This window comes from Homo sapiens, chromosome 1, assembly GCF_000001405.40.
Source record: "Homo sapiens chromosome 1, GRCh38.p14 Primary Assembly".
Lineage (NCBI taxonomy): Eukaryota > Metazoa > Chordata > Mammalia > Primates > Hominidae > Homo > Homo sapiens.
The window spans coordinates 11,469,062-11,482,579 of record NC_000001.11 but is presented as its reverse complement, the minus strand read 5'-3'; the positions used below and the strand labels follow the sequence as shown (position 1 = coordinate 11,482,579).

The window sequence follows — 13,518 nt, the reverse complement described above, 5'->3', positions numbered from 1 at the left end:
ATCACTACTACCACCCCACCATTTTGGGGTGCCTACTTTTATTGCTGGCAGTGGGCTGACTGATGGCCCTTAGGGACACCACCTCCTTGCTCAGCATCTCATTTGGCTCATCTGTGAAGGCTATTTTTGCCATCCCCAGCTCATAGGGCTATGAAAAGAGGCTGCTTAGCCACATGGTGGTGATGGCCATCTTCCCTCTTGGCATCAGAGCCTGGCCAGCAACCAACTGCCCATGGGCAGTCTACTTGCTTGGGTCCAAGGACATGAGGCTGATTGCAAAGCCCCTACTCACTGGGCAGGACCTCTAAAGCTGCTCTCAGCTGTTCCCTTCTCTGTGGCCATTTACAACCAGCCCAGTGTCTGCCACTTGGGAGGAAGGACCTTAACTCAGACAATTCCATCCACCGCCTTTGAGGACTAGGGGAATAGGGGATGGGGAGGATGGGGAGACGAGGGAAGTATGTCTATACTAGCAGAGAAAGGGGCTTAAACCATCCAAGGACCTGGCGATCATGAGATCCAGGTTTAAATCTTCTATTCATTCATTTGTCCATTCATTCATTCATTCACCACACATCTACCAGCAGAACCAGTGGTATATGCAGAGGATATATAGACAGTAGAAGTAATGCCTGCCCCAATGAAGATTGCACTTCAGCAGTATGACCTCAAGAAAATTACTTGACATCTCTGGTCCTATTAAGGAAATCATCTAAACATCCCTCACTCAGGGAACAGGATGACTTCACTAGTGGTGGGTGCTCTAAGGAAGGGGAAAGGTAGGGTAATCTTTGGGGTTAGAATCACAATTTTCAATCCCACCCACACTCAAGAGACTCACTAGAGAGTCAATGTTCCAGATTATTAGGGCCAGAAAGTGACCCTACAGGTCACCTCAGGCAGTCCTTTAACAGACGGGAAACCTGAAGCTCAGAGAAGGGAAGTAGTTTGCCCAAGGGCAAACTGGGAGTCTGTGGTTAAGCTCGGACTAGGATCCAGGTCCCCTCACTTCCAGTCCAGTGCTCCTTCCACCACACCATGCTGGGACTACTCTTCTTTCAACCCAGTTTCTGGATTTGAAGGACAACAGCAGGAGAGGTGTCAAAGGGCAAGCCAGGTCATGGCTACCAGATCTCATGGCTAGCCAGATCTCGAGGGGGGTTCCAGAATGCTTCACCCAAAGTTCTTGGCCCCTTGGAGAGATCACTGGGGCTCTGTGGCATCTGGCCCTAGAAAACTTCCTGGGGAGGGGAACAGAAGCTGCTGAGGCCACGGTGGAGGGTCGTCAGATTTCCAAAGAGAGAGTAACGGGGACATGGAACCTGCAGTGAAGAAGGCAAGTCTGAGAGAATGGAGTCAGCTCCCCCTAAGGGTCAGCTGTGCCCACATCCCAGCAAAGACTGGGTCAGACCCAGCCTAAGGAAAGTTGGGGAGAGAAGTGAAGACAGTGGGGAAGGATGACTGGAAAGACCAAAAAAAGAGGGTGCATGTGCGTGTGTGTGTGTGTATGTGTGTGAGAGAGAGAGAGAGAGAGAGAGAGAAACCTGGGGGAGGGAACAGAGCAGGGAAACAGAGGGTACAAGCAAAGAATGCGGACCCTGATTGTACATGTGTGTGTCTGGACTAAGGTTAGAGAAAGAGGAGTGAGTATTGAGGTAGAGAGCCAAGCAAAATGGACCCTGGGCTGAAAATGGAGATTCTGTAAGGCACCTGTCCAGGCTGGGCTTCTGCCTGGAGCTTCCACCGAGCCACAGCCTCCTCCCTCCCTCCAGAAGATCCCCTGGTCCCCTGGCAGGTGTAGTAGTAGGAGGTGGGGAGGGGGTGTTTGCTCTAAATCCCCATGCTTCGCCCATAGGAGCAGGACAGTGTGTGTGTGTGTGTGTGTGTGTGTGTGTGTGTGTGCACGCGCGCGCTGGGGGTGGAAGTGTGTCTGTGCTTGGGAGTCTGAGTGGCTTTGTGAGTCACTGGGCATCGGTGAGAACACCAGGTGGTGGGCTCTGGAATCTGGGGCTTAGTCAGTGAGTCCGGAGACAGCAACCTCGAGTGCAGAGCGGGGGCGAAGATGCTGCCCAGGTCCACGAACGTGTGTGCTTGTGAGATCTGTCCGCCCACGTGCGTGTGAACCGTGGGTCTGCGTGGATTGTGTGCGCCTGAGGATTGTGGGTGGGTGTGTACTTGCGCGAGTGTATGTGTGTGGACTGTTTTCCAGTGGTCTGTAGATATGTGTGTGCGCATGGATGGGTGTGAGTGTGCGCGTGGACTGTGGGTGTGCGCGGGCTTCTGAGTTTCTAGGGCGGCCGCGAGGCGCTGTCCGCGGTGCTGACCCGGGGAGTGGGCTGACGGAGACCTGCGCGCAGTCTCGCAGTGAGTGGGGGACAGCGGGAAGCTGGCGCCGGCCGTGGAGCAGAGGCCGAGAAGAGAAGCCCCCAAGGAGGCGCCTTCCCAGCCCTGCTGCCGGCCTCCCCAGGGAGTTGGGAAAAGTTCTCCCGGCGGTGGGGTTGGCTCCCGGGACTTGGCGCCCCTTGCGCTGGGAATCTTTCCCGACCCTCAGCGCCGCCACTGCCCGGCTGCCCACTCCACCTCCACCCTCGTTCGCGTTCTCGGCAGAGCCTGGGGACCCTCGCGCGCGCGGATCCATCGCTGGCCCGGCCCGCCCCAAGCCCCCACGCGCCCTCCCCGGCCGGACCTGCAGCCAGGTTAATCGGGGAAATGTCCCTCCGAGAGCACGAGTACGCTAGGTAGGGAGTGGGTGGAGGGGGTCATTAGCCTTACTCTGTCCCCTCCCTCCGCTCTAGCATGGGCGAGAGCCCGATCCAAGGGCGGCTTCAGACTGACGCTCAACTTTTATGGACCCAGATATCCCTCAGAGGGGACAAGCAGGGGCCAGAGGTCGGAAGCCTTGCCGTTCCTGGACATCCAACATCCAACTCCCCTTGGCCGACCAAGAATGCTGCAGTCCCGCGGGGAGATGGTGCGGAGCTGGGGCCCGGTCGTAGAGGGCAAGCTTGGGTTCTGTCCACCCCTGACCGTCTTTCCCGGGGGGCTCCGAGGCCCGCATCCCGGGCTGGCTGGAGAGCGAGAGAACTTCGCGCGCGGCGCCAAGCAGGTCGGGGTGCGGACGGCGCGGAGGACTTCCCCCTCCTCCTAGCAATGCATCCCCCAGCCCCGAGACCAAGCCCGGATGGCGCCCCGCGGCCGTGCACTCACCTCGGCCGGCCGAACGGGGCTAGGCTGAGCCGCCGGCGCGGGAGAGAGTGCGCAGAGGGTCGGGGGGCGGCGGCCACCACGCTGCGCAGACTCGTCTCCTCGCGGAAGTCGCAGGGGGAAGCTTCTCGGAGCCGCAGGAGGCTGGGGCTCCCCCTCCGCTCCAGGGCAAGCAGACCGCGGGAAGCTGCGCGCGAATCCCAGTCCTCAGCTCGCAACCCGAGCACTCCGCTCCGCCGCCGCCTTTTATTCGCCGCCCGCCTTTGTTTGGGTCCGGGCTCCTACCACGGGTCGCGGGGGTGTCCGAGCCAGGCTCCGGAGCCGCGCTGCCGCCCAATCCCTGGCGCCTCTCGGGCTCCGCGCCGCCGCGCCTTGAATCAGTGGCCGGCGAGACCCTGCGCCACGCCGCGCGCTGCGGTCTCTGGGACCCGCTGTCTGGCGCTGTCTTCGCCGCCGCTCCCCCTGCCGATCCGCGCGGTGGTTCAGCCCGGCCCTGGCGCCCGCGGGCGGGGGAAGCGCAAGGCGCAGCGACCCCTGGGGGTCGGTCCCCGCCCCTGCAGACGGTCCGGGCCAGGCACCACCCCCCAGCCCCGCCTCCGAGTTTCCTGATACCCAAGTCTCTCCCGGGCCCGCGCTCCCGCTCCTCTCCAGCCAGCCCGCCCAGCCTTGGCAGGTCACCAGCCTCCTGGACACTCGCGGGCATCCCCGGGCGCCCTCCGGAGGGAGCTGCCAAGCCCAGGCTCCTGGCGCCGTCCCTTCCTCGTTTGTTCTTCATTTACCCCTCTGGCACCAGAACCCGGAGCCATACCAGCCCCTGGGACCGGGCATCCCTCCAGCTCTAGCACATGACCTGCCTGACACCCCTAGCCAAAGGGCCACAAGGAGAAAGAGCCTGGGGGAGGGGGGCAGGCCAGTACCCTGGCCCATTTCTCTCCATCAGGGCTCAGAGAGCATTGGCATTGGTGTTGCCCAGGGAGAGTGAAGTGGGACCCCTCAAAAGGGGGCCAGCTGCCAGCCCCCAGCTGCAGGGTGGAGGGATGTCAGTGACGGAAGCCAGAAAGGAGGGAGGCCATTGCCATGCTGTGTGAGGGTGAGCCATGAGCTTGTCATTTGTCCTGGGTGTGTGCCGACCAAGGACCTGGGAAGATAGGGCAATGGTGAGACACAATCCTTGCCTTCAGGAGGTTTCCGGCTTATGGGAGAGAGAAGAATATGGGAGAGTTATGAATGAAATATAACAAACCCGGCCAGCCAACACACTGATGCTGAACCCACAGCAGCCCCTCCCCATCCCCAGCCCTTATTTTTAAAAGAGGAAAACTGGGTGAGACGCACCTCTAAATGTCAGGGTGCTGAGTGGATCTCCTGTGCTGTTCACCTGCTGCTCCTGCTCTGTCTCTCTGCTGTACAGTCCCTGGCTGGAAGCTGTACCCACTGACTGGCTGTCAACTAGACGCATTGGTATTTATGACTCTGGGTGCCCTGAGAGCTTATCTATGCAGAAGCAAATGGCCTGAGCCAGTGTCCCTGCCCTGGCACTCACTCCCCATGTGCTCAAGGTCTCAAGAGAGCCATTGCCAGGTTGGCCAAGTCTGTCAGAAGACTCCCAATGGCTCCATCTGGCCTTAAAGACATTAGAGTTGGGGGCAGTTCCTGGGGTGAAGGGTGCCACTGTGAGCTGTAAGGGGAGAAAGAGACAGGAGATCTCTCCCGAGAAGTAGAGGGTGTGAAAATTGCTGTCCCAGGACCAGAGGCCAAATCTGATATGAGTACAGAGGACCAGACTTGGCACCACCCTGCAAACTTCTAGTCCCATTTGCCATATCCTAGAGGGAGGGCAGAGAATGAGGAGCCATGTGAGAGGGTGGGAGGAGGGAGAACAAGGAAAAGATTTGTTTTTAAGGGAGCAATAGAGAGACACAAAGTGTGTTCCCAAGCCCAGCTGAGAGCAAAGGGTTTTCTTGGCTGGGAGAATGGCTTGATTATTTTCCGTTTGTTTTAAGGCTGCTTCTAGGAGCCTCCTCAAAGTTCTCCAAGGCTCCAGCACTGTTCCTCTCAGTCTGACAAATCCACCGGCCATCCCATTGGTGTGCCCCATGGTGCTGTGCCACCCTCAGTCCATGCCTGGGGATACAGCTGCCACTCTGCTGGGAAATAGATTTAGTGGGTTTGATATAGGTCCTTGATGAAATTCTCACCACCTTCAAAGGGGTCCTGCTTCATGTTGCCTAGCTGGCCATAGCTGTGGCCACCTTGGCCACACCCTCCTCAGAACCCTCTCTGGCCTCTGGAGACTTCCAGAGGATCTCCAGTGGGGCTGGGCTTGCTCTGCCCTTGGTGGGGGATTTTCTATGAAGGGAGGGTGCAGAGGCAGAGGCCTGTGGAGGGGGAGAGGAGGTGCACGGTGTGGTATCCAGGAACACTGGAAGGATGCAATTTTCCCAGGCCATCAGTGAGGTTTTAAAAATGCAAATGGAACCAGGCCTTTGAAATATGCCTGCCATAAAGGGGAACCGGTGGTGGCAGTGGAGCTGGTGCAGGTGTGGAAAGTCATGAGAATCCTCCTCCTGGGGTTCATCCCCAGGTTTCCTCCCCTTCCCCTGCCCGCGCCTGCTTGCAGGAAGCGTGTTTACTACAGGGGCCTGGGGATGCTGGCCTCACACATCCCTGCCCAGCCACAGGGTACTTCCCTGAAGCCTCCTGTACCTCCAGGTGAGTAGTAAAGATGACTCTGGTGGATAATGATCCACCCAGCTGAAAGGCTGCAGAGATTAAGATTCTGTGTCCCCTCTGGCTCCTTGTTCCAGTGCTGTCTGGTGGAAGTTCTTCCTGGGTCTGATTTAAATGCCTCATGGTGCCGATAAGCTGCTCCCCTTATACTCTGTCTTCACAACTAATTGAAAAGCCTTCTTTGCAAGGGATATGAGCTATAAAGGGCTGCTTTGTCCTCTCTTCCTATCCCTTTATTTCTACTTCTATTTTCTCTCCAACTAGGTCTGAAGCAGAGCCTCTGAGCTGAGCTTCTGATTCTACCTCTCCCAGTAAAGCCATATTTCTGTTCTGCCCCTTACCAGCTGCGTGACCTTGGGAAAGTCACTTCACCTTGCTGAGCCCCAGTTGTCTCATCTATAAAGTGGGGATGGTAAGAATATCTGTCTCATTGCAGTGGTTATAGTTATAAATGAGATCATCTCTGTGCAAAAATTGCATTTAGCACAGTTTGTGGCACACATTAAGCACTAAATACACATTAGCAGTTTCTTCATCATATTGTTACCGCTTACTTGGCAAGTGCTGACCATAACACATCTCACTTTTTGTGACACCCCTCCACACCGCCCCGTGAAGGGGGGTTGTATGCAAATCAAGTCCTCCCACCAGATGGGTGAGCAGCTGAGGGTTGAGCATATGGGGAGGGTTGGGAGTGTTTATCTTTTAAAATATGGTATTAAGGCACTGTCCCAGCACCAGGGAATAGAATAAATGGATTTATAAGTAATCCCCTCTTCAATCTGCTAAGGCATTGACTTTGGCGCTCTTGGCCCCCAGCCCCAATCTCACCTTCTCCAGGAAGCCACTGGGCAGAGTCAGGTAGGCTGGGGTATGCTGGAAAGAGCTCTAGATTTAGGAAACTGGGTTTGATTTTTATGTGTGTCTTTTATTAGTATGACCTTGGGCAAGTCACTGCATTTCTCTGAGACTTAGTTTCCTCATCTGCAAAGTGGGAGTCATAATGACCACTGCCAAAAATATTCCTGCTTAATAGTCTCTTCAGCTAAAGTAGAACACAGATTTATAGGTAGCCATTTGATAATTAGTTCTAGATATAGTTATAACTATATATAGGAAGTGATAATAGGATGATTAATCCCTGTTTCCATTATTTTCAGGGTTGATTGCACTTCATGTGACATAATAGACACAAAAAAACTCAAGGAGCTTGCCCAAGTTCCTGGTGAATGAATTTCTGACTCCAAGTCACATAGAAACTTAGTGGAAGAGCTTGGGTTGGACTCCAGTTCTCCCAGCTTCCAGAAACACCATCCTTCCTCTCCCCAGCGCCTTCCTCCCTGAAGCTCTGTTCAGGAGATGAGCATGAGCTTATGGTTGGGGAAAACATTAGAGGGTCTCATAATTAAAGAGAACAGAGAGAGCTCTGAAGAAGGGCCTGAGGAAGGCTGACAGGGCTAGGCTTAGGGCAGGGGTATTGCAGACACGGCCTGGGGGAGGCTGGACAGATGGCAGCTCTCCCCTCCTGCCTCCCCCAGAATTCTGCAAACAGCCAGGCCTAGCACTCCTTTCTCAGCCTTGCCTGCCTCCTCCAAGAGAGCAGGCATCCTGTGCCAGAGTGAGTACAATCCAAGTTATTAATTGCCTGCAACAATTAGCCCCAGCGCCTGGGCCTGCAGACACCCAGGCTCTGAGAGAGGGAGCCAATTACAGCTTCATCAATATTCACGCTGTCGCATAATCCTCTTCCAACAAGACGGCCCCCTTGTCCCCCATCCACATTTCTAGGGGTCTTTGCTCTGACCCCAACATCTGGAGAAGACTAAATATTGCTGAGTTCTTCAAGAGGAAAAGTCACTGGAGGGGTTAGACCCGAGGGGCTATTAGCATAGCAGAGCCAAGGCATTGGCAGGGAAGAGCAGGATCCTGCCAAAGATCTGGACAGTGTGACATTAGCCAAAGACAGTCCCATTGTTGGGGAGAGATTATAACCTCCAGGTTGAGGGTTTTACGTGGATACCCTGAGGGTTCTTATTGATAGAACCGGCCTGAAAGGAGGTCATAAATACCCAAAAAGTTCTAGTTTTAATCCCAGCTCAGTCACATACCAGCTTTGTGGTTTCTGGAGAAGCCCTTTGCATCTCTGAGCTCATGTCCTGACCTGTAAGCTGGGGGCAGTGGCCACCCCTTCCCATGGAGGAGGATTAAGGGACATGCTTTGCAGGGGCACATAGCAGTACAGTGAATGGTACAGAGTGGGCTGGAATAAATGGCTGTGCTTGTGTTTGATCCAGAAAAAGCTCCAGAAGGAGATCTCCTGACCCCCAGAGAAGTATAGGGTGATGGGGAACAAGGCAGATGGGCAGTTAGGAGGCCAGGATGCTGACCCTAGATTTGCTCTAACATGCTCTGTGGTCTTGGTGACCTTCCATCTTTGGCCTCTTGTTTCTATTTGACAGATGAGTACATGAGCTAGATGTGCTCCAGGGCCCCTCTGACTGTGATCTTCCAGGAGAATATGGGAAGACAGAATGAGTTCAGACTGGGTAGGAGGCCACAGGGAATATGCAATCCCCGATTTTCCAAGGAGGTAAACGGGAGCAGTGGTCAATGTGATGGAACCGCCAAAAGTGTGTGAAGGCAGGCACATAAATAGTTAAGCCACAGTCACACATTTGTTGGTTCTGCGGTGGTAAAAGAAACCACATATCTTTTATCAAAACAGAAAATAAAAGTCATCATCTTGTTCAGAACTCCTGGGAAAGGCTGAGTAGAAGTCCCAGCACAGGCCTTGTCCCTGGGGTGTTTCAGAACCATGGACAGTGGCTGCTGGCAGCTGGGGTGGAGATGAGGGCGAAGGGATGAGGGGCAAGAACTCAGCCACCGAGTTGAGTACTCGGAGGCAGTATGATGTTCAGGGTGAGTGATGTTGAGCAGGTCCAGGTTCAAGAATAGCAGTTACAACTGGCTTTTTTTTTTTATGAGGTCTCTCTCTGTCACCCAGGCTGGGGTGCAGTGGTGTGATCACGACTCACAGCAGCCTCGATCTTCCTGGGCTTAGGTAATTTTCTCAGCCTCCTGAGTAGCTAGGGCTACAGGCATGGGCCACCATGCCCAACTAATTTTTTCTTCCGTAGAGATGGGGTTTTGCCATGTTGCCCAGGCTGGTCTCAAACTCCTGGGCTCAAGCAATGTTCCACCTCGGCCTTCCAAAGATTGATGCCCAGACATAAGAAGTGCTCAGTAAATGTCAGCCATTATTATTATTATTATTATATTTTTAGAGACAGAGTTTTAGAGACCTTGGCCTCCCAAAGTGCTAGGAGTACAGTCATGAGCCACCACACCAGGACACACCTGACTTTTGAGTGCCCAGTGGGGTTGCTTAAACCTTCAGAGGGTAGGGGTCTTCCTCTGTGCCCCCTCCTAGGAATATCTAAGGTTCCTGGTGCACCTACCTGTGTACGGGCTCTTCGTGACTCAGCACAGAATCCCAGCCCCACCTCCCCACTCTGCCCTGCTCCTCTGTCTCTCTGGCTTTGGTTTCCCGGCACAAGTTGCCCAGTGCCTTTGACCACCCCAGTCAGCCTGGCTGGCCCACTGGTGCCAGGAGCCAGGTCAGCTTTAACCCTGGCCACCAAATCCCATCTGAGCCTCAGCAGTGACAGCAAGAAAGAGCTTTTCTGGCATCGTCCCAGTCAGGAATCTGTGCAGCTCTGATGGGCTGCCTCAGTGCCAGCTCCTATTCCGGCACTTTCAGTGTAGGCAGGGTGGAGCCTGTTCAGTGCCAGGACCCCTGAACTGACATGTAGGGCTGGTAGGCAGATCATCAGTGTCCTGGCAGTTAAAATACTTTTTTATGCAGCAAGGGATGCTACTAACAACATCAGCAACAATAATCATTAATGGCTGCCATTTCTTGATTGCCAGATCCTATGTATGTATTATTTCCTTCAAACTCACAACCACCCCATGAAGCAAGTCCTCTTATCATCCTCATTTCCAAATGAGGAAATTGAGGTACAGAGAGTAGTAAGTTGCTACAGCAGGTAGCAACCCAGTCAAACCCACCCAGGCAGTTTGACTATAGCCCAAGTTCTATATGACATTATTCTTCCCATTTTACAGTTGGAAAAACTGAGGGTCAGAGAGGTTGAAAGACATGGTGAGGGTCACAGTAATGGAGAGGATTTGAACCCAACGTTGCTGATGCGGTAGATACTGTTTATCTGCTCTACTCTTCTGCTCTCCATGGAACTAAGTCCCTGTTGGGTGCCCACTCTCAGCACTCCCTACTGTGGCACTGAGGTCTCACCCTAAGTCTAATCACAACTAAACTCATCTCCCTGTTCATCCTTAGGGAAGTCACAGCCTCTCTCTGAGCCCAATCTACCAAGGGAAACTTTCTAAGGCAGAGCTCACATTCCAACTTGAGAATGGCTTCATTTGATGAGATTCTTCCCTGGAAACCAGCAGAGTCATGCCATCCTGCAAACTGGCAGGGTAGTTTCCAGGACCCAGGAGGGCCGAGTCATGCCCATACTTCCAGGACAAGATGCAGGGGCCAGGGCCACTAGCTGTAAACACACCGTGGGATTGGCATCACCTGGCACAAAATGCCAAGTCATCGCCTAGCCTATCATTTCACAAATGGGGAGACTGAGGCCCAGGGCGGGTGAGCATGGTGGTGTGGTTTCCTCCTGACAGTACTGTCCTTTTGGCCACCCCTCCAAGCCTCTGCGCCCTTCCCAACATCCCTGCATTCTCATTTTGCAGCTGGGCACGACAAAGGACAGCTGTTCTTGCTGGCATCTAGGGCCACATCTGGCAGCAGGATGCAGAAGGAATGCATGAGTGGCCTAAATGGCCACATGGGGAGCAGCCCAGGCCAGGACAGCACAGCTGGCTGTGCTTGGAGAGCTGGGCTGGCAGCAAGTCCTCCTCCTCTACTCCTCCTCCTCCTTCTCTTTTTCCTCCTCCTCCACCTCTTTTTCCTCCTTCTCCACCCCTTCTCCTCTTCCTTCTCCTTGTCTTCTTTCCTGTCTCTCTCCCACACTCCCAAACTCCCTGCCTTCTTTCCTTTACAATCATTCCTTGCTTTGATAATGATGACAGTAAACATTTACTGAGTACTTACTGTGTGACAAGGCCTGTACCATCTTCTTTAATCTTCATAACAACCCTTGGAGAATAATCATCTCTCTTTCACAGATGAGGAAAATATAGGTCAGAGAGGTCAGGGTTTGTATAGCCCAGCTGACTTCGATCCCACACTCTCCTGCTCCTTTGCTCTTTGGGGGACAGTAGCACTTCATCACACATGGGGCAAAAAGACCAGAGATGGTGCCATCCATTCTCTTTTGATCTTGGATGTGTTGTTTGGCAGACGCCTTTTTTTCTTTTAATTTTTATTTAAAACTCTAAGCTGATTTCATCCCCACCCCTAGTGTGCTTCATTCTCTGTTCCTTCTCAACCTCTACTTCCCAATGTGTGTACACACAGCCAGGGGTCAGCTGATGGTCAACATTCCACTGACTCAGGAAAGTGGAACCAGACCATCACATGTGGGACCTAAGTTCAGAGGACTTCCCCTGTCCCCAAGGATGTTGTGGTTGTCATCATTTTCAATCCAATCAAAGGGGCGTGCAGAGCAGGTGGCTCAGAATATGGAGTTTGTGGACAGACATACTTCAGTCTATTCATAGCTGTGTCACTTACTGGCTGGGTGATGTTGGCCAAGTCGCCTCAACTCTCTGAGCCTGTTTCCTCACCTGTAAAATGGAGACAACACCTGCCTCAAAGAGCAGCTGTGAGGATCAAATAAGTCTGTGTGTATAGTGTGACCAGCACATAGCTGTCCCCAGGTAATGTGATTGCCCTACTCCATCTCATTGTGGATCTAAATAACTTGGAAAAACATATTCCTTCCAGCCCGTGGGGGCCCCTGAAGACTCATTTCCTAGGAGTTGTTTCCTCTGCCAAATATTTGGTAGGATTTAGATTACAAGGTAATAGCCAACATTTTTCTATGTGCCCTTTGTGTGATGTGCAAATTGCTCATATCATATATAGAGCATGTAGGTTCAGAGCACAAGCCCTGGAAACCAATGATCTGGGTTCAAATCCCAGCTCCGTCGCTTACTAGCTGTGTGACTTTGGACAGTCACCTAACCTTTCTGTGCATCAATTTCCTCATTGTAAAAGGGGCTAATAGAAGTGCCTACATCTCGATGCTGTGCTAAGAAGTTAGGGGGTGCCTGGAAAGTTGTGAGATCGATGCCCAGACATAAGAAGTGCTCAGTGAATGTCAGCCGTTATCATTATTATTATTATTATTATATTTTTAGAGACAGAGTCTTGTTCTTTGGTCCAGGCTGGAGTACAGTGGTGCCTTCATAGCTCACTGCAACCTCAAATTCCTGGGCTCAAGTAATCCTCCCACCTCAGCTTTCCAAAACATTGGGATTACAGGTATGAGACCACACCTGGCCTCAGCTGTATTATTATTATTATTATTATTTTATTATTTTGAGATGGAGTCTTACTCTGTCACTGAGGATGGAGTGCAATGGCACGATCTTGGCCTACTGCAACCCCCATCTTCTGGGTTCAACCAATTCTCCTGCCTCAGCCTCCCAAGTAGCTGGGATTACAGGTACCCGCCACCACACCTGGCTAATTTTTGTAATTCTAGTAGAGATGGGGTTTCGCCATGTTGGCCAGGCTGGTCTTGAACTCCTGACCTCAAGTGATCCACCTGCCTCGGCCTCCCAAAGTGCTGGGATTACAGGCATGAGCCACTGCACCCAGCCCAGCCATATTATTGTTTTGTCTCCACAATAATCTTGGAAAGTGAGGTTAAGTCATAAGTCCAAGGTCACACAGCTAGTAAATGGCAAAGCCCTTTGAACTGGGGTCTGACTGGTTCCCAGGCCTAAGGGTTTCCCGCTGCAGCCTCATGTCTCTAAGGTTCATGGGTCCCACCTGTGGCTCAGCCAGTCTCCTCCAATGCCACAACCCAGGTGAGCTCCTCTTCCCACTCTCATGCTTTCTCTTGTACCTGCCTCAGCTGGAAGCTTGCCCTTTCTTACTGAATTGTTTATTTCTAAAACACACTCCTCCTTAACTCCAGCTGAGTGCCTTGGGGCTTCCTACGCTTGAAACTTGCTCACTTTGCAGGGTTCCCACGGCATGGGTGCCTGTAGAAACCCCAAATTCAAGTCTTGCTCCCCACTGGGCTCATAGGAGACCTAAGACACTCCAGCCACTCCTGCCGGTCACTTGGGGAGTGTCTGTTGCTCCAAGCACTGCATGTCCCCCACCCCACTGCCTGAGGGACAGACACAGCCCTGACATTGAACATGGCACTCAAGGTCTGCTCCTCCTCAATGACGTCTCTCTGACCCCATTAATTGGCAGTCCCTGTCCACACCCCCAGCAGCCCCGACCCGCCTGGCTTGATTGTTGCTCAAACATGCCGGCTCCTTCCTGCCTCCCAGCCCTTCCCCACACCACTCCCTCTACCTGGAGTGCTCCTTCCCTTCTTCCCTACCAGTGGGAATATTACTCATCCTTAGGGCCCA

General features: G+C 53.2%; 1 protein-coding gene across 8 annotated transcripts in view, besides 2 other annotated features; it reads right to left on the bottom strand.

Moving 5' to 3' along the window:
- The window catches only part of DISP3 (dispatched RND transporter family member 3), a 58,397-nt gene extending 54,972 nt beyond the window's left edge, over positions 1 to 3,425 (bottom strand). For all 8 annotated transcript variants that reach the window (NM_020780.2, XM_047426135.1, XM_011541830.3 and 5 more), the window contains exon 1: positions 3,208 to 3,425. The gene's annotated coding sequence lies outside the window, so the exon portion shown is untranslated. The remainder of the gene's footprint in view (positions 1 to 3,207) is intronic.
- Positions 2,273 to 2,874: an enhancer, noted in NCBI's record as "H3K27ac-H3K4me1 hESC enhancer chr1:11539763-11540364 (GRCh37/hg19 assembly coordinates)". NCBI's record gives its function as "activates a minimal SCP1, AML or CMV promoter by ChIP-STARR-seq in primed H9 embryonic stem cells {active_cell/tissue: H9 hESC(primed)}" and the evidence as "EXISTENCE:reporter gene assay evidence [ECO:0000049][PMID:30033119]".
- Positions 3,519 to 3,838: a silencer, noted in NCBI's record as "silent region_264". NCBI's record gives its function as "represses an Ori minimal core promoter by ATAC-STARR-seq in GM12878 lymphoblastoid cells {active_cell/tissue: GM12878}" and the evidence as "EXISTENCE:reporter gene assay evidence [ECO:0000049][PMID:35858748]".